The sequence below is a fragment of the Homo sapiens genome, chromosome 8, assembly GCF_000001405.40.
Source record: "Homo sapiens chromosome 8, GRCh38.p14 Primary Assembly".
In the NCBI taxonomy this organism is placed as follows: domain Eukaryota; kingdom Metazoa; phylum Chordata; class Mammalia; order Primates; family Hominidae; genus Homo; species Homo sapiens.
In genome coordinates, this window is record NC_000008.11 from 65108983 (window position 1) to 65134653 (window position 25671).

General features: G+C 40.4%; 5 annotated features.

Annotated features, from left to right (window-relative positions):
* Positions 10881 to 12080: an enhancer, noted in NCBI's record as "CDK7 strongly-dependent group 2 enhancer chr8:66032098-66033297 (GRCh37/hg19 assembly coordinates)". NCBI's record gives its function as "activates an origin of replication core promoter dependent on BRD2, BRD4, P300/CBP, MED14 and CDK7 cofactors, with strong dependence on CDK7, by STARR-seq in HCT116 cells {active_cell/tissue: HCT116}" and the evidence as "EXISTENCE:reporter gene assay evidence [ECO:0000049][PMID:35650434]".
* Positions 10881 to 12187: a biological region, named in NCBI's record as "CDK7 strongly-dependent group 2 enhancer GRCh37_chr8:66032098-66033297".
* Positions 11686 to 12187: an enhancer, noted in NCBI's record as "H3K4me1 hESC enhancer chr8:66032903-66033404 (GRCh37/hg19 assembly coordinates)". NCBI's record gives its function as "activates a minimal SCP1, AML or CMV promoter by ChIP-STARR-seq in primed H9 embryonic stem cells {active_cell/tissue: H9 hESC(primed)}" and the evidence as "EXISTENCE:reporter gene assay evidence [ECO:0000049][PMID:30033119]".
* Positions 21333 to 21857: an enhancer, noted in NCBI's record as "NANOG hESC enhancer chr8:66042550-66043074 (GRCh37/hg19 assembly coordinates)". NCBI's record gives its function as "activates a minimal SCP1, AML or CMV promoter by ChIP-STARR-seq in naive H9 embryonic stem cells {active_cell/tissue: H9 hESC(naive)}" and the evidence as "EXISTENCE:reporter gene assay evidence [ECO:0000049][PMID:30033119]".
* Positions 23626 to 24127: an enhancer, noted in NCBI's record as "NANOG hESC enhancer chr8:66044843-66045344 (GRCh37/hg19 assembly coordinates)". NCBI's record gives its function as "activates a minimal SCP1, AML or CMV promoter by ChIP-STARR-seq in primed H9 embryonic stem cells {active_cell/tissue: H9 hESC(primed)}" and the evidence as "EXISTENCE:reporter gene assay evidence [ECO:0000049][PMID:30033119]".

The following is a 25671-nucleotide window of genomic DNA, read 5'->3' on the forward strand; positions in this document are numbered from 1 at the left end:
TAGTTTTTGGGAATTCTTGCTCCCCCTCAGGATATTCCCCCTCAGAACTCAGCTGCCATGCTAAGAGAGGAAACACCATGAAGGGGCCATGTGTAGGTACTCTGATCAACTATCCCAGCAGAACCCAGCCTGAGAGTCATCCCAGATCAGACACAGATGTAAGAGTGACAAGCCTTCAGGTGATTTCTGTCTACAACCATTTCAGTCCTCAGAGCTGAGGCCCCAGACATTGTGCTACTGCAGAGCAGAGATAAGTCATCCTTGACCAATAGAATCTGGGAGCCTAATAAAATATGTTTCATACTGCTAAGTTGGGGGTAGTTTTTTACCCACCATAGATAATAAATCCAGAAAGACAAGCTCTCCCCATCAAGTAGATGTACCTATTTCCACTAGAATAGTAATGCAACCAGTTGGGAATAATATATTTAATTTTATGAAATAATAAAACTATTGTCTTAATAGGTATTTCCAACCTTGGAAAGGTTTAAAAGTAAGTAGTTGATTAAATAAACCAACACAAAATATTAATATTCTGTTTTAAATTCAATATTAGTGCATTCATAATTAATACAACTTTTGTATATTGAGATTCTGACAGATAAGCCTTGTAATTTCCTTTAAATAATTGAATAATTGGCTTTAAGTACACAATCTTAAAATAAAAGTTACATAAAGAGTTTAAATATTTCAGAGAATTGAAGTTAACTCAGTTGTAAGTTAAACTCTGTTGAAGGGAGTTTTATTTCATCAACTTTAGTTGTTTATGGAACGTCTTTAATCAGAAAAAAGTGTGGATGACTGTTCTCAGTTTATTATTAAAATCTAAATGTTAATTTAATAAACACTGAATATTAATTTTAGGTATAAATAATTCTAAACAATCTTCACATACACAAGAATATGACCTTCTCATAGACCATTGATATGGTTAAGCTTTATGTCCCTACCCAAATCTCATCTTAAATTATAATCCCCATAATATCCATGTGTCAAGGAAAAGACAAGGTCAAGGTAATTGAATCATGGGGGCAGTTTCCCCCATGCTGTTCTCATGGTATTTAGTAAGATCTCATGTGATCTAATGGTTTTATAAGGGTCTCTTTCCCCTTCACTCGGCATTTGTCCTTCCTGCAGCCTTGTGAAGAAGGTGCCTTGTGTCCCCTTCACCTTCTACTATGATTATAAGTTACCTGAGGCCTCTCCAGCCATGCTGAACTGTGAGTCAATTAAACTTCTTTCCTTTATAAATTACCCAGTCTCGGGCAGTTATTTATAGCAGTAGAAAATGGACTAATACAGATATTAAAAATGTACATTGATAAAAATATTGTGGGAAAGGGCATAAAAAGCTAGAAAAAGAAATAGGAAAGGGGCAGAGTTCTAACAATTTTCTCCATAAGACAAGCACCAGAGTTGGGGCTCCAGGGAAAGACTAGTATTCTGCGACACACAGGAGAAAGTTTGCAGCTTCTGGGGAATGTGCTGAATGGCTCACACTGATTCCTACCAGAGAGATGATAACCCAACTCTAACAGTGGACAGACATAATTGCTGGTATTCCACATTATATAACAGCAAAATACTTTAGGCTGCAGTTTGGAGCAATTTCCTTTTATTCATTTATAAATACCAGATTGTTTATATTTATAAATAAATAAGAGGATAACCAGATGTTTTTATAGACTGATGACCAGATACTTTTATACTTAAACTAAGCCAGAGAATTTATATTCATAAATAGTTTATACTTATATTTATTTATAAAATATTTATATTTATTTATAATAAATATATACATAAATATAAACTCTCTGGTTTAGTTTAAATATAAAAGCATCTGGTTATCAGCCTTTTCTAATTATAAAAACATTTGAGTCATCATTCATTCATTTATTTATGTGCACCATAAACTTTGTATCCAAGGCAACTTATAATATTGAATACTTAAGTGTTAGTATTAGACAAATAAGGGTAAAGAACAAGAGTTTTTAAAAGAAACATTGTAAAATAATAGTTAAAGAATTGTTTCAAATTCAGATGAATTCCTTAAAAATGGAGACTAAAATGTGAGGCTCAATGGATTAAACAGATCTTTTAGTATATCTTTTACTATCTTTTGATTAAGTGAGCTCATCTCCTATAACCTTTCAGCATAGTTCCTATTTCCTCACTCCATAATCATTTTTACTTTTCTGGATTAAAACACTTTAAAGTATTTTTTCCAAATGCATCTTAAGTTGTGGAGCCCCAAATTGAATACTAGTGAGCAATTAGCAAAGTTGTGAACTGTAACATAAAAGTTAAATTAGGAAAATTATCTTGTAGTAAACAATGTAACAGAACAAAGTGGCACACACATCAAATAACCTATTCTGAAAAAAACAAACAAACAAACAAAAAAACAGTATAAAACCTGAATGTTCAATTGGGGCAGGGTAGGGGATAGAATTAGAACCATCATAGAAACCTGAGTTGATAGAACACAAAATTGCAAACCTAATTTTACGATGTTGTTGCTTTCTACAGAGATAATACAAGCTAATTATTTTGTAAAAGCTAAAGCTAAAAAGTTTAATAAAGAAAAGTGTTCCTGACTGCCCAGAGGTAAACAGGTAATATCGTAAAGACGCTTTCTAAACTCACTGTAGGCATATGCAACGTGGAGAAGATGTTACCCAGATGGGCACCTCCCCCTCTGTAGCTGCTTCCACTCTCCAGCCATTAAAATGCAGACTTGGGTTCCATCACCACTTTCCACATGAAATGTAACCTCAGGGAGCATTTAATTTTAACTTTTGATAGATTTTAAAGATGATTTGAGAGTATGCAGGAAGGAATTACATCCCACACCATCTATCAGGTCATCTTCATCTGACCCCAAATTCCCATGACATTTCCTGTCCAGGGTACCTCCCAGCCCTCTCCCACTCCACTTCTTTCCCATTTTTTTCCCCACGCTGTTCCCAGTTTCACTATCTCCCATTCTCTTTTGTTAAAATAAAAACTTTAGACAAAATAAATCTAACAGTTTATTTGTGCAAAGAATGATTTATGAATCAGGCGGCATTCATAACCAGAAGTCCAGAGGGCTCCACTCCACCTGCCTGAGCAGTGAGTTTTCATAGACTGAACAGAAGGAATTCATTGGCTACAATAAATGTGCTTGCCTTATTTGTATATGGCCGATAGGAGGTTCCCAGTTATATAATCAATTGGCTGGTTGACCCAAGCAGAGGCTCAAGATTTTATCTCATTTTTGTTGTTGTTATTGTTGTTGTTTTCCATCAGTTACAAAAAATACTCCCAAACCTGGCAACCTCAGGCTAATGGCCTCCTTCTTATTTGTTTTAACATTTTCATATCCACCCTACACATCTCAATTGTGAAGAGCAATTCAGCCCCATGTTGATACCGACCTCTGAGTTACTGCTAGCAAGTTAGCACCATCATGGGGAAATTGGTCATGTTTTGTTTCTGTTGCATCTCTGGCACCTAGGAAAATGCAATGCAATGGCATTCCTAGACTGCACCTTCTCCCACAGATTTCCTTCTGGGCTGGAGCTCCATCAGCTGAGTGCTTGGCTGCCTGCCCCACCTCCTCTGTGAGATGGCAAATAGATGATTTGCGTGCCACTTTTCGTTCCTCTGTGGATCAAAATATGTCTCTGTTTTCTAAGCCTAATTTTTGGAGGGTCAGAGTTGGACTGTCCTCATGGGTAAAATCTATCACAATATACCCATCCTCTTTATAATAATAACAAAATAGACAGCATTCCTTCTCCACAGAAGCCAGGCAGTATGATGTTGATCTGTTAAGCATTACCTGAATCTTGCCTATACCAGATTAGGCTCCAGAGAGTGCATTCCTGGAGGAATTTACCTCAAATCACACATTAAGGTTTTTTCTTATGCCTATGAGAGGAAGTGCTACATTAAAGAGGAGAAGCCAAAACCTTCAATATATATAGCAAATTAACTTCTAGAACAATTGCATCTAGTTTTGATTCCACCTGCATTATACGAGAAAATATGTTTTTCCATAGCCTTGCCTGTACTGGGTATTGTCATCTTTTTATGGTGTTGCCTATTGGATAAATAAAAACTACTGTCAAATTAGTGCATTGATAATTATGTTAATTGCTAGTATGGTTGGACATTAGTTCAAGTGTTTAGTCAGGAGTTCCAGACCAGCCTGGCCAACCATGGCCAACATGGTGAAACCCTGTCTCTACTAAAAATACAAAAATTAGCTGGGCATGGCGGCAGACACCTATAGTCCCAGCTACACAGGAGGCTGAGGCAGGAGAATCGCTTGAACCTGGGAGGTGGAGGTTGCAGTGTGCTGTGATCACACCACTGCCCTCCAGCCTGGGTGACAGAGGGAGGCTCTATTTCAAAAATAAATAAATAAATAATAAATAAATAAAATTCATTCATATGAACTTCTTGCATATTGGGAATAGTATTATTTACCTATCAAATTTTCTACAGATAATTTGTCCCAGTTTATCATTTGTCTTTCCATCTTATTTATGGTATATTATGCCAGGAAGAACTTACTTTTTAGAAATTAATTTAATCAAATCTATCATTTTCTTTTATGATTTCTTGATTTAAAAATTTTTAAAACTATGATGCAGGGGTGAAATAAGACAATCCTCTGATTTTGAATATTCATTGCTCAAAACTTTTATTTCAGTGATGTTTGTAATAAGGAAAAAAATGAAAGCACTCTAAAGAACTTTTGATGGGCAATGATTACCTAATGATTTTTCATCCAGTATCCTGCCATTAACATCATTATTATGACACAACATGGTAAAAGATAGCATAGGCAGGATAGCATAATGGTTAGGAAGCCTCCCTGAGCCAGATTTTTGGCAACTTACTTGAATTCTCTGACTCTTCGATTCCTCATCTGTGATGAGGGGGTTATAAAGCTGTCTCACAGGGCCACTATGGTAGCAACCGGGATCTTGCACATGAAGAATTAAGTACAGCCTTGATACAAAATTTCCACTCAATAGGGTAAGGTATTTATAGTTGAAAAGATAAAAGTGGAAAAGACAAAAGTAACAATAGCCATTGGGTTAGGATAGCAGGTTAATTTTTTTTCCTTTGTTTTCAAAACTGTCTATAATGTTATATTATTTAAAGAAAAATTTAAGATAAATGCGTACACTGGTGTGTTTTACTTCCAAAGGAACATGCCGCTAAGACACTAAGGTTACCTTCAAAAGAGCAGATGGATTAATTCAGAGAGGAGAGAATAATGATTGCGATGGAGTAGTGAGTTATGAGAAATGATTAAAGATAAAGACTATGTCTGGTGTTGCTAAGTAATGGCTGAGGGGGGACTAATAGTTGACTACAAAAATCTGACAGGAGAAATACTGAACAGGCAGAGAGAATTATTTAATCAGGTTTAGGACAAATAACTAGACAAGTATAAAGAAGGAAAGAAAAATTTACCCTGAATGGGAGAGAAAACTTTCTGACAGTGAAAATTTTTATACAAGGAACATCTTCCAAGAAAAGTGATGAAAGCCCATCCCTAGAGATATTTAAAATAAGGTTGGATGGATACCAAAAAATATGTATGACAGAACCACAGTGCTTTGATTCGGTATTAGCTTCCATCTCTGATTTTATAGCAGCCTTGGAAAAAAAATAGGTCACTCAGTCATGGTGAATGATTAAAATGTGGCTCAGGCAACCAAGTGTTTGAGCAGTTTTGAGGTGTCCTACTTCCATGCTAGGCACAAAACTAACCTGAGTCAATGTCTGTGCCACAATGTGGCTGCCACATATGAGATGGTGGTGGGTTCGGGTGGGCTCTTAGCAAACTACCTGTTCCTGAACCAAAATTTATATACCTGTCAATCAGTTCCTGAATCCCAGAGTACTACAGCCCAAAGGGACTTGGCCTAACAGCTTCCTTTGAAGATAATAATTTGCTCTACTTATTAAGTATATACATGGTACCAAACAGTGTATTAGGTGTTTTGCCAATGGAATCTCTTTGGATTCTCACAACCACCTCGGAGGGTAGCTATTGTTATCCACGTATTTAAAATGAAGGCTCAAAAAGATTAAGTCCTGTCCCAAGGTCACATGGAAAGTAAGAGCTGAAATGAGGATTTCAATCTAGGTGTGTATTAGTTCATTTTTACACTGCTATAAAGAAATACCCAGCCAGGTGTGGTGGCTCTTGCCTGTAATCCTAGCATTTTGGAAGGCCTAGGCGAGCGGATTGCTTGAGGCCAGGAGATCGAGACCCACCTGGCCAACATGGCAAAACCCTGCCTGTACTAAAAATACAAAAGGCCAGGCGTGGTGGCACACACCTGTAGTCTCAGCTACTTAGGAGGCTGAGGCAGGAGAATTGCTTGAACCTGGGAGGTGGGGGTTGCAGTGAGCTGAGATCAGTCACTGCACTCCAGCCTGGGTGACAGAGCAAGACTCCATCTCAAAAAAAAGAAGAAGAAATACTGAAGACTGGGTGATTTATAAAGATTTAATTGACCCACCGTTCTGCAGCCTTAACAGGAAGCATGGCTAGGGAGGCCTCCAGAAATTTACAATCATGGTGGAAGGGGAAGTAGGCACCTTGTTCACAAGGCAGCAGGAAAGAGAAGTGCAAGCAGGGGAAATGCCAGATGCTTATAAAACCATCAGATCTCATGAGAACTCACTATTACGAGAACAGCATGGGGGAAGCAGCCCCCGTGATCCAATCACCTCCCTCCTTCCACATATGGGGATTACAATTCGAGATGAGATTTGGGTAGGAACACAGAGCCAAACCATATCAAGGTATATTTCTGAAGCTTCTCATCCTTTCCTCTCTACTCGGCTGTCTCGATAGATTAGAAGAGGAACAATTCATGAAAGATCACCGTCCAATTTTAGAGCCCAGACTACAACTTGGAATCCTTGTTCTTGGTCTCTGTCCTTAACCAAAATCAGTTCTCATCTCTATCTTCTTGAGCCCCTGTTCCATTCCCTTGCCCTCTCCTCCTTTGATAAGAAGCAGAAAAAGAAAGAAAATTATATTTTTGATGTTACAAACTTGGGATAGGAAGAAAGAATGTGTATATGTAAATTTAGCCTTTTGATTCTTTAGGTTTCTTTACTTAATGCCAAAACTCATTGTATTATTTAACCCCAGTATTCTACATTTAAATATTCTCTGAATCCAAAAAAATTCTGGTCCCTTTATAATAAAGTAAGACTCATTGTACATGTAGCTCAGATATGCACTTTGAAGTCTAATAATCTAAAATAAGTTGAACAATTAAAATAGGAATAATAATGTGTCTTCAAGATGCTTCACTTTTGCATTTCCCAACTAATATCCATCATATTGCAAGACAAAGGGAACTTGTAAGAACATAAAATTTGCAACATACTCTATCAGCTCTGAATGTGTTAATGCCATATCTACTTTTTTTTTCATTTTTCTCTTAATAGGTTGCATTCTTTCTAGGCATAGTTCTCAATCTAATAAAGTTAAGTAGTAGAGAAACATTTTGAAATGACTTTGATCAGTCAGGAGCTAACCAAAGACCAATAACTATCTGAAGATTTCTATCACCTAGAAAGGTTTATGTTTTCTCCAACTCAATGGAAATATCTTATCACATATTATTCAGGCCTTTCTTCTTTGTATCATCTTCCTATATATGAAGCTAATTATGTCTGGAAGAGAAAATCTAAATGCCTTACCGTCTTCAGGCATCCATTCCTCCAAATCCTAAGAATCATACTGAAAAAAAGCAAAATCTTGTAAAATGAAATTGTTTCTAACAGTATTTAATACATTTGAAAGAGGAAATGGATTGGCAGTGGAGAGAATGAAGGTTGGGAAAAATATTGTATTTGTTCTTCTTATGCTGCACATGAAAGGATCGTCTGCTAAAAAAATACCTTTCCTTGTACAGAGAGGTATTTCTTCTCTACCACACTGGCTAAGGCACACATAAGTCAATGGTCCCCTGCATTGGCCACTGGAAGAAACTGAGGAAATTGCTTGCAGTTATAGTCTATTCAGAAAAGTTGAGTATGACACAGACCTATATGTTTAAAAGAAGAGCAGGTTTGTTTGTTTGTTTTCTAGCAGCATTTTATGAATTTTAAGGTACACCTAGAGATGGGCACACAAAGCCACCACCCACACATGGAAAGCATTTGGAGAACAGGATACCTTCAGTTCCTTCTCTAAGGCTCTGAGTCTGTTGAGCAGGGCACACCAAACGGGAAAGTCCTTTCTGAAAACAGAGACTGGAATGTTGAATTCTGAACTGGATGGCCTCCTTTTCCATGTCTGTGCATATTCTCATTTTTCTCTTTATTCGCAAAACAGACAAGACAGTTACCTTTCCTTTCACAAGACCAAAAATGATAATAATTTCTTCAGGAAATCCAAAAATTTGATTATTCTGTTACTCTATAGTTCAATATAAAATCCAGTGATCAACTGAGATTAAAACCAAAAATAAGGCTGGAAGCTGTGGCTCATGCCTGTAATCCCAGCACTTTGGGAGGCCGAAGTGGGCTGATTACGTGAGGTCGGGAGTTCGAGACCAGCCTGACCAACATAGAGAAACCCCGACTCTACTAAAAATACAATATTAGCCAGGCATGGTGGTGCATGCCTGTAATCCCAGCTACTCAGGAGGCTGAGACAGGAGAATCGCTTGAACCTGGGAGGTGGAGATTGCGGTGAGCTGAGATCACACCATTGCACTCCAGCCTGGGCAACAAGAGCGAAACTCCATCTCAAAAACAAAGAACAAAAAGCCCTAAATGTTCATATTCTTTACCCCAACAACATTAGGCTTTTATTTATATAATAACTAATTTTTTATAATTAATTCATTTATATATCCGGGGTCTCCATAAACACCCTTCCTATGTCTTCTGCTGACCCAGTATATCTTCTGATAATGAAATCTGTTAACAATTGTGGATATTATACTATTTTGATAAAATACTGACTACAGTTTTGCCTCAACATAGCAATCGTATAAATAAAATTGAAATTGTATCTTGAAACTCTTTAGTCATCTGCAAAATACAGTCTGAATCACAACATTTTTTGTAATTGTTGAATGTAAGAGAGACAAATGTGAAATATCAATAAAATAGTCAAAACACAGATCTCACTTTATTTATCAAATTTAGCCTCAACTGTTCCTTCACATTTTTCAGAGAGTTTCAAATCCTTTGTGTGTTTTACTAGTAACAAATTATTTAAGACCTGAGTTGTCAAAATAATATGTAATATAAAATTGTGCCCAAATACCACCCACATGCAAATTTATTCCTCCACTAGTGTGGTGGAATAGTAATACTTTAAGTTAAATAACTTATCCCCCCTTTCAAGATGGAAACCATGTCAAAATGGGAAGAGAATTCCAAACTTGCATTCCAGGGTGTTTAATTCCTAATTAACTTATAAGGTGATAAAAGCTTATAGGATAATAAAAGTATAGCTAACACTTCTTATAGAGCTGGTGAGGTAATATTATTAACACAGAGGGAAACTATACCCACAGAACAATTACTTGGCTAGAGAATTGGCTACAAAAGGGTTTGGAGGTACATTTTCTTCATTTTGGTCTGGTGATTTTACAAAACCACACTAGGTTCTAGGATTCAAATAGATCCTAGAAATAAAACTTACTTAATTTTAGGTATATCTTCACCTTTTTCCTTAAATCTGTTAATTAATTTGAACTGGTTTGAGTTTTTCTATTGTGCCCTGGTTGCAGGCCAACTCTAGAGGAAACTGCTAAATGCTAGGCAATGAGAGAAAGCAGAGAAAGAGGCATGGCCAAGGCCTCTGAAGGCCTCTCCAGACTCTGGACACGAAGAAACAACTGCATTCACCATGCACATATTAATAGACAAAGTGATTACTCTTTAAACATTTCTAAGCTTTGCTTCTAAGTTTTTGTAAGAAAAAGAAAAATATATAACTCAACCACATCCTGTTGATTCCAAACTTTATCTCAATAAAAACAGGAACTTTTGGTCACGTTTAGAGGTAAAACTTGTTTGACCACTTCCACACTGACCCAGATCTGGGAGCTCTGTGCTACCTGTTGGCTGAAGGTAAGAATGAAGGAGGGTCACAGAGGTGGATCAGATGCTAATAAACCCACATAAATAGCTCTTTTTTCTTAATACTTTATTTTATTGTATTTTCCCCATGTATTTATTGAAGCATAATTGACAGAAAATTGTATATATTTGAGGTGCACAATGTTGCATTTTGATGTAAATATGCCTTGTGTAATGATTCCCACAATCAAGCTCATTAACCTATCCATTATCTGACATAGTTACCTTTTTTTGTTGTAATGAGAATAATGAGAACACTCAAGATTTATTTTCTTAGCAAATTTCAAGTATACCAGGGGCTAATGGAGTGGAAAACATGGGGAAATGTTGGTCAAAGCATACTAACTTACAGTTATAAGGTGAGTAATTTCTAGAAATCCAATAAGCAGCCTGGAGACCCCAGTTAATAATGACATGTATTGAATAGTTCTTTTTGAGTACAAGTTGTGTCTATCTAGTTTTCTGAAACAACGGATTATCTCTTTGTAGGTGTTGGTTGCAGGAACATGTTGAATTGTGAAAATCTCTGATACACCTCAGTTCTCCTCTGCCAATAGTTGAGTGCCCTGCAAAGAGTCTGAAAAATGCCCTGTAGCTGGATCAACAGAATATGACCACTGTGAAGAGGCAGCTACATGGAAATAGTCTGTTCTAGAGAAAGCTTTCTTTTCATCCACATGCTTGTTTTTAAGACAGTTTTGAGGTGATCATGGCAGACAGGAGGCAGGACTAGCTTGCAGCTCTGGACACAGCAGCATACGGAGGCTTGCATTGTGAATTTGAGCTCCAGATTGACAGCAAGAACAAACCAGCAAAAGAGGACCCACACACCCTCTGAAGGAAGCAGACTGCTCTTGCAAGACCCAGGAGACACCCCAAATACTGTGAGTGCCCCAACTGCAGAAGTGGGAAAAGGAGACCCTCCTCTCCTGAACGCACACCTCCACTAGAGAAATTGAAGGTCTGTTTGCAGGATAAGTTCCCAAATTTACCTGGAGCTCAGTTAGTCGAGCTGAGTGAAATATAGGGGTAGAGGAAGCAGCAGAAAAGCCCTGGGAGCTCGCTGGATCCCCAAGCAGCCCATTCCTGCATTATGTATAAAGTTTTGGTGCCACAAAAGAAATAGCACTTGAATATAAAATTTTCTTTTTAATTCTCAGCAAGGCATGTTACTTCTATAGAAGGGTGCGCCCTTACAGATGGAGCAATGGTGAGCACACACTTGGACAAGGGAGGAGAAGGGGTTCTTATCCCTGACCCACATGGCCCCTGCTGCTGTGTCCTTCCCCTATTGGCTAGGGTTAGACCGCACCGGCTAAACTAATTCTGATTGGCTAATTTAAAGAGAATGATTGGGGTGAGTGCTTGGCAGGAGTCAGGGCACAGCAGGTAGCAGGTAACCAGAATGAGTTAGGGTGGAGCAGGTGATCAGAATGAGTCAGGGTGGAATAGGTAACTGGAATGAGTCAGGATGCAATTGGTAATCGAAAAAGGTTTTCTTACAAGGAAGTTTAAAAGTAGAAGGCAGGGAGGAGCCAAGATGGCCGAATAGGAACAGCTCCAGTATACAGCTCCCAGCGTGAGCGACGCAGAAGATGGGTGATTTCTGCATTTCCATCTGAGGTACCGGGTTCATCTCACTAGGGAGTGCCAGACAGTGGGCGCAGGTCAGTGGGTGCACACACCGTGCACGAGCCGAAGCAGGGTGAGGCATTGCCTCACTTGGGAAGCACAAGGGTCAGGGAGTTCCCTTTCCAAGTCAAAGAAAGGGGTGACGGACGCACCTGGAAAATCGGGTCACTCCCACCCGAATATTGCGCTTTTCAGACCGGCTTAAAAAACGGCGCACCAGGAGATTATATCCCGCACATGGCTCCAAGGGTCCTACGCCCACGGAGTCTCGCTGATTGCTAGCACAGCAGTCTGAGATCAAACTGCAAGGCGGCAGCCAGGCTGGGGGAGGGGCGCTCGCCATTGCCCAGGCTTGCTTAGGTAAACAAAGCAGCCGGGAAGCTGGAACTGGGTGGAGCCCACCATGGCTCAAGGAGGCCTGCCTGCCTCTGTAGGCTCCACCTCTGGGGGCAGGGCACAGACAAACAAAAAGACAGAAGTACCCTCTACAGACTTAAATGTCCCTGTCTGACAGCTTTGAAGAGAGCAGTGGTTCTCCCAGCTCGCAGCTGGAGATCTGAGAACGGGCAGACTGCCTCCTCAAGTGGGTCCCTGACCCCTGACCCCCAAGCAGCCTAACTGGGAGGCACCCCCCAGCAGGGGCACACTGACATCTCACATGGCAGGGTATTCCAACAGACCTGCAGCTGAGGGTCCTGTCTGTTAGAAGGAAAACTAACAAACAGAAAGGACATCCACACCAAAAACCCTTCTGTACATCACAATCATCAAAGACCAAAAGTAGATAAAACCACAAAGATGGGGAAAAAACAGAACAGAAAAACTGGAAACTCTAAAACGCAGAGCGCCTCTCCTCCTCCAAAGGAACACAGTTCCTCACCAGCAACGGAACAAAGCTGGATGGAGAATGACATTGACGAGCTGAGAGAAGAAGGCTTCAGATGATCAAATTACTCTGAGCTACGGGAGGACATTCAAACCAAAGGCAAAGAAGTTGAAAACTTTGAAAAAAATTTAGAAGAATGTATAACTAGAATAACCAATACAGAGAAGTGCTTAAAGGAGCTGATGGAGCTGAAAACCAAGGCTCGAGAACTACGTGAAGAATGCAGAAGCCTCAGGAGCCAATGCGATCAACTGGAAGAAAGGGTATCAGCAATGGAAGATGAAATGAATGAAATGAAGCGAGAAGGGAAGTTTAGAGAAAAAAGAATAAAAAGAAATGAGCAAAGCCTCCAAGAAATATGGGACTATGTGAAAAGACCAAATCTACGTCTGATTGGTGTACCTGAAAGTGATGGGGAGAATGGAACCAAGTTGGAAAACACTCTGCAGGATATTATCCAGGAGAACTTCCCCAATCTAGCAAGGCAGGCCAACGTTCAGATTCAGGAAATACAGAGAACGCCACAAAGATACTCCTTGAGAAGAGCAACTCCAAGACACATAATTGTCAGATTCACCAAAGTTGAAATGAAGGAAAAAATGTTAAGGGCGGCCAGAGAGAAAGGTCGGGTTACCCACAAAGGGAAGCCCATCAGACTAACAGCAGATCTCCCGGCAGAAACTCTACAAGCCAGAAGAGAGTGGGGGCCAATATTCAAAATTCTTAAAGAAAAGAATTTTCAACCCAGAATTTCATATCCAGCCAAACTAAGCTTCATAAGTGAAGGAGAAATAAAATACTTTACAGACAAGCAAATGCTGAGAGATTTTGTCACCACCAGGCCTACCCTAAAGGAAGGAAGCGCTAAACATGGAAAGGAACAACCAGTACCAGCCGCTGCAAAATCATGCCAAAATGTAAACACCATCGAGACTAGGAAGAAACTGTATCAACTAACGAGCAAAATCACCAGCTAACATCATAATGACAGGATCAAATTCACACATAATAATATTAACTTTAAATGTAAATGGACTAAATGCTCCAATTAAAAGACACAGACTGGCAAATTGGATAAAGAGTCAAGACCCATCAGTGTGCTATATTCAGGAGACCCATCTCACGTGCAGAGACACACATAGGCTCAAAATAAAAGGATGGAGGAAGATCTACCAAGCAAATGGAAAACAAAAAAAGGCAGGGGTTGCAATCCTAGTCTCTGATAAAACAGACTTTAAACCAACAAAGATCAAAAGAGACAAAGAAGACCATTACATAATGGTAAAGGGATCAATTCAGCAAGAAGAGCTAACTATCCTAAATATATATGCACCCAATACAGGAGCACCCAGATTCATAAAGCAAGTCCTGAGTGACCTACAAAGAGACTTAGACTCCCACACATTAATAATGGGAGACTTTAACACCCCACTGTCAACATTAGACAGATCAACGAGACAGAAAGTCAACAAGGATACCCAGGAATTGAACTCAGCTCTGCACCAAGCGGACCTAACCGACATCTACAGAACTCTCCACCCCAAATCAACAGAATATACATTTTTTTCAGCACCACACCACACCTATTCCAAAATTGACCACATACTTGGAAGTAAAGCACTCCTCAGCAAATGTAAAAGAACAGAGATTATAACAAACTATCTCTCAGACCACAGTGCAATCAAACTAGAACTCAGGATTATGAATCTCACTCAAAACTGCTCAACTACATGGAAACTGAACAACCTGCTCCTGAATGACTACTGGATACATAATGAAAGGAAGGCAGAAATAAAGATGTTCTTTGAAACCAACAAGAACAAAGACACAACATACCAGAATCTCTGGGACGCATTCAAAGCAGTGTGTAGAGGGAAATTTATAGCATTAAATGCCCACAAGAGAAAGCGGGAAAGATCCAAAATTGACACCGTAACATCACAATTAAAAGAACTAGAAAAGCAAGAGCAAACACATTCAAAAGCTAGCAGAAGGCAAGAAATAACTAAAATCAGAGCAGAACTGAAGGAAATAGAGACACAAAAAACCCTTCAAAAAATTAATGAATCCAGGAGCTGGTTTTTTGAAAGGATCAACAAAATTGATAGACTGCTAGCAAGACTAATAAAGAAAAAAGAGAGAAGAATCAAATAGACACAATAAAAAATGATAAAGGGGATATCACCACCGATCCCACAGAAATACAAACTACCATCAGAGAATACTACAAACACCTCTACGCAAATAAACTAGAAAATCTAGAAGAAATGGATAAATTCCTCGACACATACACTCTCCCAAGACTAAACCAGGAAGAAATTGAATCTCTGAATAGACCAATAACAGGAGCTGAAATTGTGGCAATAATCAATAGTTTACCAACCAAAAAGAGTCCAGGACCAGATGGATTCACAGCTGAATTCTGCCAGAGGTACAAGGAGGAACTGGTACCATTCCTTCTGAAACTATTCCAATCAATAGAAAAAGAGGGAATCCTCCCTAACTCATTTTATGAGGCCAGCATCATTCTGATACCAAAGCCGGGCAGAGACACAACCAAAAAAGAGAATTTTAGACCAATATCCTTGATGAACATTGATGCACAAATCCTCAATAAAATGCTGGCAAAACGAATCCAGCAGCACATCAAAAAGCTTATCCACCATGATCAAGTGGGCTTCATCCCTGGGATGCAAGGCTGGTTCAATATACACAAATCAATAAATGTAATCCAGCATATAAACAGAGCCAAAGACAAAAACCACATGATTATCTCAATAGATGCAGAAAAAGCCTTTGACAAAATTCAACAACCCTTCATGCTAAAAACTCTCAGTAAATTAGGTATTGATGGGATGTATCTCAAAATAATAAGAGCTATCTATGACAAACCCACAGCCAATATCATATTGAATGGGCAAAAACTGGAAGCATTCCCTTTGAAAACTGGCACAAGACAGGGATGCCCTCTCTCACCACTCCTATTCAACATAGTGTTGGAAGTTCTGGCCAGGGCAATTAGGCAGGAGAAGGAAATAAAGGGTATTCAATTAGGAAAAGAGGAAGTCAAATTGTCCCTGTTTGCAGATGACATCATTGTATATCTAGAAAACCCCATTGTCTCAGCCCAAAATCTCCTTAAGCTGATAAGCAACTTCAGCAAAGTCTCAGGATACAAAATCAATGTACAAAAATCACAAGCATTCTTATACACCAATAACAGACAAACAGAAAGCCAAATCATGAGTGAACTCCCATTCACAATTGCTTCAAAGACAATAAAATACCTAGGAATCCAACTTACAAGGGATGTGAAGGACCTCTTCAAGGAGAACTACAAACCACTGCTCAAGGTAATAAAAGAGGATACAAACAAATGGAAGAACATTCCATGCTCATGGGTAGAAAGAATCAATATCGTGAAAATGGCCATACTGCCCAAGGTAATTTACAGATTCAATGCCATCCCCATCAAGCTACCAATGACTTTCTTCACAGAATTGGAAAAAATTACTTTAAAGTTCATATGGAACCAAAAAAGAGCCCAGATCGCCAAGGCAATCCTAAGCCAAAAGAACAAAGCTGGAGGCATCACACTACCTGACTTCAAACTATACTACAAGGCTACAGTAACCAAAACAGCATGGTACTGGTACCAAAACAGAGATATAGATCAATGGAACAGAACAGAGCCCTCAGAAATAACGCTGCATATCTACAACTATCTGATCTCTGACAAACCTGAGAAAAACAAGCAATGGGGAAAGGATTCCCTATTTAATAAATGGTGCTGGGAAAACTGGCTAGCCATATGTAGAAAGCTGAAACTGGATCCCTTCCTTACACCTTATACAAAAATCAATTCAAGATGGATTAAAGACTTAAACGTTAGACCTAAAACCATAAAAACCCTAGAAGAAAACCTAGGCATTACCATTCAGGACATAGGCATGGGCAAGGACTTCATGTCCAAAACACCAAAAGCAATGGCAACAAAAGACAAAATTGACAAATGGGATCTAATTAAACTAAAGAGCTTCTGCACAGCAAAAGAAACTACCATCAGAGTGAACAGGCAACCTACAAAATGGGAGAAAGTTTTCGCAACCTACTCATCTAACAAAGGGCTAATATCCAGAATCTACAATGAACTCAAACAAATTTACAAGAAAAAAACAAACAACCCCATCAAAAAGTGGGCAAAGGACATGAGCAGACACTTCTCAAAAGAAGACATTTATGCAGCCAAAAAACACATGAAAAAATGCTCATCATCACTGGCCATCAGAGAAATGCAAATCAAAACCACAATGAGATACCATCTCACACCAGTTAGAATGGCAATCATCAAAAAGTCAGGAAACAACAGGTGCTGGAGAGGATGTGGAGAAATAGGAACACTTTTACACTGTTGGTGGGACTGTAAACTAGTTCTACCATTGTGGAAGTCAGTGTGGCGATTCCTCAGGGATCTAGAATTAGAAATACCATTTGACCCAGCCATCCCATTACTGGGTATATACCCAAAGGACTACAAATCATGCTGCTATAAAGACACATGCACACGTATGTTTATTGCAGCATTATTCACAATAGCAAAGACTTGGAACCAACCCAAATGTCCAACAATGATAGACTGGATTAAGAAAATGTGGCACATATACACCATGGAATACTATGCAGCCATAAAAAATGATGAGTTCATGTCCTTTGTAGAGACATGGATGAAATTGGAAATCATCATTCTCAGTAAACTATCGCAAGAACAAAAAACCAAACACCGCATATTCTCACTCATAGGTGGGAATTGAACAATGAGATCACATGGACACAGGAAGGGGAATATCACACTCTGGGGACTGTGGTGGGGTGGGGGGAGGGGGGAGGGATAGCATTGGGAGATATACCTAATGCTAGATGACGAGTTAGTGGGTGCAGCGCACCAGCATGGCACATGTATACATATGTATCTAACCTGCACAATATGCACATGTACCCTAAAACATAAAGTATAATAAAAAAAAAAGAAAAAAAATAAAAGTAGAAGGCAAATAATTGAACATACTGACATATTAATTATTGGAAAAGAAATTTAGAACTCATATCTAACAACCCCTCCCCTTGTATTGACTTACAGCTTTCTTTTCAAACTTTTTTTTAACATGTCTTGGCTTAGTTGTTTTGCTTGATTTTTCAAAAGAAGAAGCTTCTCTGGATAAGGTGGAGGATAGGTAAGGGAGGTTTTAGTAAGTGCCGTTTTTATGAGCCTCTGCATCAACTTATGGATGCATGGTATGACACAGCACCCGACAAAAATAAGTACAACTATTACGGCTGCAAGGGAAGTCAGAATTGTGGCTATTATTCCTTTCCACTTACCAAACTACTTTTCTAGCCATCTTGTAAAGGGGTCATTTAGTTGCTGGCTAACCCATTGGATAGAGCAGTCAGACCTTGCAATGCCTTTGTTATACCTCCATTAGGGGCGGTGTTGTTTGGGATGGAGGTGCAACATTGAGTTTTAATCATGATGCAAACTCCTCCTCTTTCTGCTAATATATTGTCTAAGGCTATCCTATTTTCCTAAGCCATCTGGCTAGTAGCCCCTAATTGTTCAGCTATTCCTTTAACAGCATCGCTAATGTAGTTAATAAATCGCTGTTGGTTGTAATAGATGTAGTTTATCCAATCTACATTTTTATTCATTGTCACCCACCAAAATATTGACTCAAATCCTGCAGCTATTTGATTTTGGGCTTTAAATTGATCTGGTGTTCCCCGTGGAACTCTTATTGTGTCTACATAGACGTGAGAGTCGAAAGACCCATAAGGGGATTCTCTTGCTTTACAATGTCTTATTTTTCCTTCCTCTGGTTGATGAAATGCCAGGGTGAAAAGGATAGCCAATTGGACTAAAGCACAAGTGCCACTCTGGTTATTTGGCAGAGTGTCCAGTAAAGGTCCACCACAATACCACCACACATCCACTCAGGGATGAACAAGGGCTGACTAATTGATAAGCTCTTCAAAATTCTTAAGCTCACTGCATCCCTTCAGCTCTCCAAGGAACATTAAGTTTTCTCCCTGTCACAAGAGACACAAAGTGAACTTAGTGTTGGGAGATGGAAGCTGGATGGCCCTCAGGGGCTGACCCGCAGGGTGTCAGACTTCAGGATATAGCAGAGAGAGAGCTTGGCATGAATTATTACTCCAGGCTGTAGAATCCTGGAAAAGAGCTATCATGCAGCCCATGCCCAATCGACTGGAGGACCACCCTAGTGCAAAGGAGACAATCTGGGCCTCTGGCCTGCCATGTGCACAAGCATAACAATTGCTTTTGTTTAACATGCAGACAGAATCTTTGATCCTTTCCAACCAGGTATTTGCATCTTGGTATCCTGTCTTAATTGCCAAAGTTTGTTTTAAGTCTTTAACTTTTATGATAGCTGTCTTGGTCTTGTCGTTAAATGGAGAAGGAGCAATTGTTCCATTGTGAGAGGTTTTGGAAGAAGGCTTAGAGGAAGGTGCAGGCAGTGGGGGATCAAAGAAACGCATTTCAAAGAATCTAATAGGGTTTATCCCTGAAACTTCAGACCCCATACCATAAAACTGGCTTAAAAAAGGAAATCAGCTTAGAAAGGGGAAGAACTTTGAGGGTTTGAGATAATAACCTGTATAGAATTACACTGGTTTAGCTGACAGTTAGAGGGGAGGGCTGTCCCTCTAGTAAAATGAATGTATGGTTTTAGGAAATTACAAAAACCAGTCGGGGCAGTCCATTCTTACTCTTTAGTGGTCCACAGAACGTTGGACCAACTATGGCATAAAAGCTCTACATCAGGGAACAACTCTCCTGACTGACACTGGGGTCTTTATCGGAATCTCCCTGGATTAAATGGTCCCAATTCACTAATGTCCAATCTGAAGACAGTCAGGAGGGACACAGGTACTTTTCTGAAGCAGAAATCTGTCTTTGACTTGGCAAGTCCCCACAGGGTATAACAAGGCAAGCATTAAATGCAATCGTTTGAGGTGAAATTGACTTGGTTATGCTAATAACTAGATGTTCAGCAATAGAGTGAGGAAAGAAGAAAGAATAATAGAATAGATGAAAGAGAGTTAAATTTTTCTTAGCTTTAGTTTGGTAGGGTTTTCCCCTGGGACTGTGGCCCACGACTCTGGAGGGGGCGGTGCTTTCTTGACTCGGGTGTGATGAGTCCATCCCCTTTCTGCTGTAGGAACAGTAGTCTCAGTGGCTAGCAGCACAAGGTACAGTCCTTCCCAGGCTGGCTCGAGTTTTCCTTCTTTCCACCCTTTGATGAGAACGTGATCCTCAGGCTGGTGCTGGTTTGCCAGAAATTCTAGGGGTGGTACCTGTGCTAAAAGACTTTTAGTTTTGAGGGAAAGGAAAGTGGAAGATAAAACACGTATATAATTTCTAAGAAATTGATATTTTGTTTTAAATGTGGAGACATCAGCAGTGGACTTTATAGTCCTTGGTGCCTTCTTACTGAGAAATTTCCTTTAGAACCTATTTTTATTAGTTTTTAGACCAAAGAAAGCCAAACACCATTTTGTATTTGACAGTGCTTCCTGTATGATTTTATACCAGATAAGCTAAATTTCACCTTTATATTAGTGTGTTATTAATGTAAAACTCAATTGTAATACAACCTTATAGACATATTTATCCAATTTTAACATCTGACTATAAGGTAAGATTTTTTTATAGACTCTTTTTAACCTTTTATAATTTTTGTTAAAGAGCAGGTTAGTGCTTTAAGAAAAACCCGTTGTGCTTTTATTTTAATGTCCAGTTCATGGAAAAACTGGATGATACACTTTTAACTTTAGCAAATATGTTTACACACAGAATTTCCTTTACAATTAATGTTTTAAAACTTGCTTAAACCAGCCGGGCGTCGTGGCTCATGCCTGTAATCCCAGCACTTTGGGGGGCCGAGGCTGGTGGATCATGAGTTGGGAGATCGAGACCATCCTGGCTAACACGGTGAAACCCTGTCTCTATTAAAAATACAAAAAAATTAGCCGGACGTGGTGGCGGGCGCTTGTAGTCCCAGCTACTCAGGAGGCTGAGGCAGGAGGATGGCGTGAACCCAGGAGGCGGAGTTTGCAGTGAGTGGCGATCACACCACTGCACTCCAGCCTGGGTGACAGAGCGAGACTCCATCTCAAAAAAAAAAAAAAAAAAACTTCCTTAAAACTTCAAAACAAAATATTTTAACCTTCTAATGTAGGTAAAAATCTACATTCTTATGCCTCCTTATAATTCTTTTACCAAAAGTATATTTTACTTTCCTTATATACCTTGCACATAAACTGTTTCTTCAACAGTTTTACATTCAGGAGGCCTAAGTACTTTCAAATTATACAACATTTCTTGCATAAATTCCTTTTTATAACATACTTTTTTTCATGACTTTCACAGACAGTTCTTCGACACACCTCAACTTTTTGACTTATTGTAAACATCCCTTTTTTCAAAACAACCAGTTAATTTATTTTAGGACAAGAATTTACCATATAACATTCCTTTTTACATATATTCTCCCCCCGACTTTTTTTTTTTCTCACAGATGATAACCATTCTTTTCCAAAGCAAACTTTCTTCATGTCTGTGGACTAGACTGTCTAAGGCCACAAGATTAGAAGTTAGGATAATACACGTTGCACTGTTAACTTTTAGCAAACTTTACTTTTGTTGAAAACCTTGTAAGTTTGGGATTTTGATTATCCTTTGCTATTAATAAGACCTTGTTTAGTCCAAATTAACTTAGAATTGGTATAGATGGTTCCTTCCTGGTTCTGTAAGTACTTTAAGGCTTGGCTGAGTGCAAAGAGCTCACACGTTTGAGCAGACCAATTGTTAGGCAATTTTCCCAACTCGGCTTTTACAAGAGTTTCCTTATCAATTACTGAATACTCATTGTGTCTTTTTTCCTCAATCACCTGGGAGGAACCATCTATTGTCCTGTCCTGAAGGGAGTTCCTCCTAGGTCTGGTCGGACCTCTGTATGGTAACTGGTTAAGATTTAGATCTCCTGTTAGAAAACCTGCTGAGTTAAGGGAATTATCAGTGGTTAATGTTAAATCATCTTTTTCTAACAGAATAGCCCCATATTTTAAGATTTTTGAGTTAGTAAGCCACCTTTTTGCTTTTCTTTTCTTTTTTTTTTTTTTTTTTGGACTTAGGATAGTTCTGAATTGGTGAGGTGTTCTCACAATGAGGTTTCCTCTCAAAGTTATTTTTCTACTTTCTTTTGCTAGCAAAGCAGTTGCTGCTACAGATTGAATGAATTTGGGCCATCCGTGGGTCACTGGGTTAAGGCTTTTGATAGGAAGGCTATGGGTTGTCAGTGGCCTCAGCTCTTTCGGGCTATGCCCTCGTTTACACTGACAACAAGGTGGTGTTGGAGTGTTATAGTGTCACGAAGAAGACCTTCAATTATCAATTATAGGTTTTAAATTTACCCTGGCTTTTAAAGGAATAGGGTACATTGTCTTCTCTTTACTACTTCTCTCTCTCTCTGACTTTCTGTCTCTCTCTTTCTCTCTTTCTTTGACTCCCTCTTTGTCTCTGTCTCTTCCTCTCTCTCTCTCTCTTTCTCTTTCCTCTCCACTGGTCTTGCCCTGCCTCTGCCAGCCGCTTATGCTGCTGTTCTCCCCCATCTCCTTCCCCTTTTACCCTGAAGACTAAAAGTTCCTCTGAGGAGGAGACATTAGACGAGGGGAAACAAACAGAGGAGCACGCAGCCCCTGAATCAACTAAAAAGGTGATAATCTCATGTTTAGGTCCCACCTCCAAATTCATCAGGGTCTCCTGGTGAGACTCAAGATAAAAGACAGAGTCCCTGACCCCCCTCTTCTTCCTTGAAAGTCATGAGTAGAAGGGCTCCTTTCTCCTTTCTTAGTTCAAGACATCCTCTCTTGAAGTGGCCTGTTCTTCCACATCTATAGCACCTCTCATGTCCTTCCTCTCTCTTAGTTCTGGGATTCTTTAACCCTGCTCCCCCATACTCTTTAGGGGTCCTGGTAGATGAGGACCTTGGTCCTCCAGATGGAGGGGGGGTCCTTTTAGAGAGAGGTCTTTAGGTTGGGAGGGAACAGGCTGGTGGGATGGTAATTCCCAAGAGTCAGGGTTATAAGGAGGAGGGATAACGTCAGTCAGGGGGAATTTGGAACGGGATCTGAGGCAGCAGTGGCTGTCTGAGGGGAAAGATTGGGGACACTGAATGGGGGAAGACAGTCTAGGGGATCCCATTCACTGGAGTCTTTAGGCATGAGAGCTAGCTCCTCTGACTTTTCATTTTGAGGTGCCAGATTGGGTTCCTCCCTATGTTTTTAAGGGAAAAAGGAGGGCAGGTCCTTGCCTCCAACAAAGGGTATAGCCTAGTTCTTCTTGAGACACTGGACTTTTATTAACATATCAGATTAGAAGCTGATGCATTACGTCCTCATTTGACCCAAACTTTGGCCAGAAGATTGAAAGTTTGAGGATGGGTCCCTGAGTCCAAATAAAACAGCAATATTTTATCATTTGTTGCTTTTTCCTGTGTTTAGTCCTTTCATTATCTTTCCAGTGTTTTAGCATGAGACCTAGGGGGCTATCTGGGGGGATATCTTTGCTACCATCTTTATCCCCCTTGTTCCTTGTCTTGCTTGGGGTATTTCCCATCTTGATGGTTTTGGGGTAAGGTTCGAGGTTCAATTTCTCTTACTGGAAATTTCTCACCTTTTGGGGTGAGGCTCAATTTCCCCACTGGAAATTTCTTGCCTTTTGGGGTGAGGCTCAATTTCCCCCACTGGAAATTTCTTACCTTTTGGGGTGAGGCTCAATTTCCCCACTGGAAATTTCTTGCCTTTTGGAGTGAGGCTCAATTTCCCCACTGGAAATTTCTTGCCTTTTAGGGTGAAGCTCAATTTCCCCCACTGGAAATTTCTTGCCTTTTCTACTACTGGAGGTTTGTGTGAGGGTCAATCCCCCGCAACGGGGACATCTCACCTCTTTTTAACCTCTAAGCCACCCCAACCAAAGAGTACTTCACTGCCCACCCCCGCCCCCCATGGCTTCCTTACCTTGGTCCCAACAACCAAGGAAATACTTTACCAGCTCCCGCAGTTTCTCCTTCCTTGATCTGTGCACAGAGTCATTGCCGCAGGATGTGAGGATCCTTTAAGCTAGATTGCTGGCCAGTTTGGTTTTTTTTCACCCACGTTGCTGAAAGCTTGGGTTATTCCTTGCACTGGGTGGGTCTTGATTTCTCACCCCTGAGGCCGCCACAAGGGGGCGGGGCGCGCCTCCTCACAAGAGAGAACCAGAGACCATCCCCAGAGGGGAATGTAATCACGGATGAGCCCGAAAATTGTTATATATAAAGTTTTGGTGCCGCAAAAGAAATAGCACTTGAATATAAAATTTTCTTTTTAATTCTCAGCAAGGCAAGTTACTTCTATAGAAGGGTGTGCCCTTACAGATGGAGCAATGGTGACCACACACTTGGACAAGGGTGGGGAAGGGGTTCTTATCCCTGATGCACATGGCCCCTGCTGCTGTGTCCTTCCCCTATTGGCTAGGGTTAAACCGCACCGGCTAAACTAATTCTGATTGGCTAATTTAAAGAAAATGACAGGGTGAGTGCTTTGGCGGGAGTCAGGGCAGAGCAGATAGCAGGTAATTGGAATGAGTTAGGGTGGAGCAGGTGATCAGAATGAGTTAGGGTGGAGTAGGTAATCGAAAAAGATTGCTTTACAAGGAAGTTAAGTTTAAAAGTAGAAGGCAAAGAATTGAACATACTGACATATTAATTCTTTGAAAAGAAATTTAGAACTCATATCTAACACCTGCTTGGCATCACAGGGATCCATCAGGAGGGTGGCCAGAGGACCAGAGGGTAAAACTCCACAGGAAGAAGGAATTCTCTAGCTGAACTTTGTAACAGTTTGAACAGGGCGAGAAGCCTCTTGGCCAGAACTGGGGGAGGGGGCAAATAGGGCATGCAGACTTCATGGGCGGGGGAAGAACTAAAGCCCTTTTCTCTTGCAGCTGGGAGGTGGATAGCCTTGGGCAAATTTTCAAGCCTGTCTCACCCTCTGCCTGGAAATGGACTAGAGGCTATTGGGGAAGCTCGGTGGAAGCAAGACCAACTGTTCAGTTTGCGTGGGAGCTGGATGAGGCCTGTGACTGCTGGCTTTCCCCCACTTCCCTGACAACCTGCATGTCTCAGCACAGGCAGCCATAATCCTCCTAGGTACACAACTCCTGTGGCCTGGGAATCTCACTGCCATCCCCCACAGCAGCTGCAGCGAGACCCACCAAAGGAGAGCCTGAGCTCAGACCCACCTAGCCCCACCCCACCTGATGGTCCTTCCCTACCCACCCTGATGGAAGACAAAGGTCATATAATCTTGGGAGTTCTAGGGCCCTGCCCACTGCTGATCCCTCTCCACACTACTAACTGATGCTTTTTGGAAAGCACCACTCCTGGCAGGAGGCCAACCAGCACAAAAATAGAGCATTAAACCACCAAAGCTGAGAACCCTCATGGAGTCCACTGCACCCTCTGCCACCTCCACTGAAACAGGTAGCCGGATAATCTCCGGCTAAGAGACCCATAGAGGGTCCACATCACAGCACTCTGTGCAGAAACCCCCAGTACCAGCCCAGAGCTGGGTAGATTCACTGGGTGGCTAGACCCAAAAGAGAGACAACAATTACTGCAGTTTGGCTCACAGGAAGCCACATCCACTGGAAAAGGGTGGGAGCACTACATCAAGGGAACACCCCATGGACAAAAGAATCTGAACAACAGCCTTCAGCCCTAGACAGAGCCTACCCAAATGAGAAGGAAACAGAAAACCAACCATGGTAATATGACAAAACAAGGCTCTTCAACACCCCTTAAAAACTACACTAGTTCACCAGCAATGGATCCAAACCAAGAAGAAATCCTGATTTACCTGAAAAAGAATTCAGGAGGTTAGTTATTAAGCTAATCAGGGAG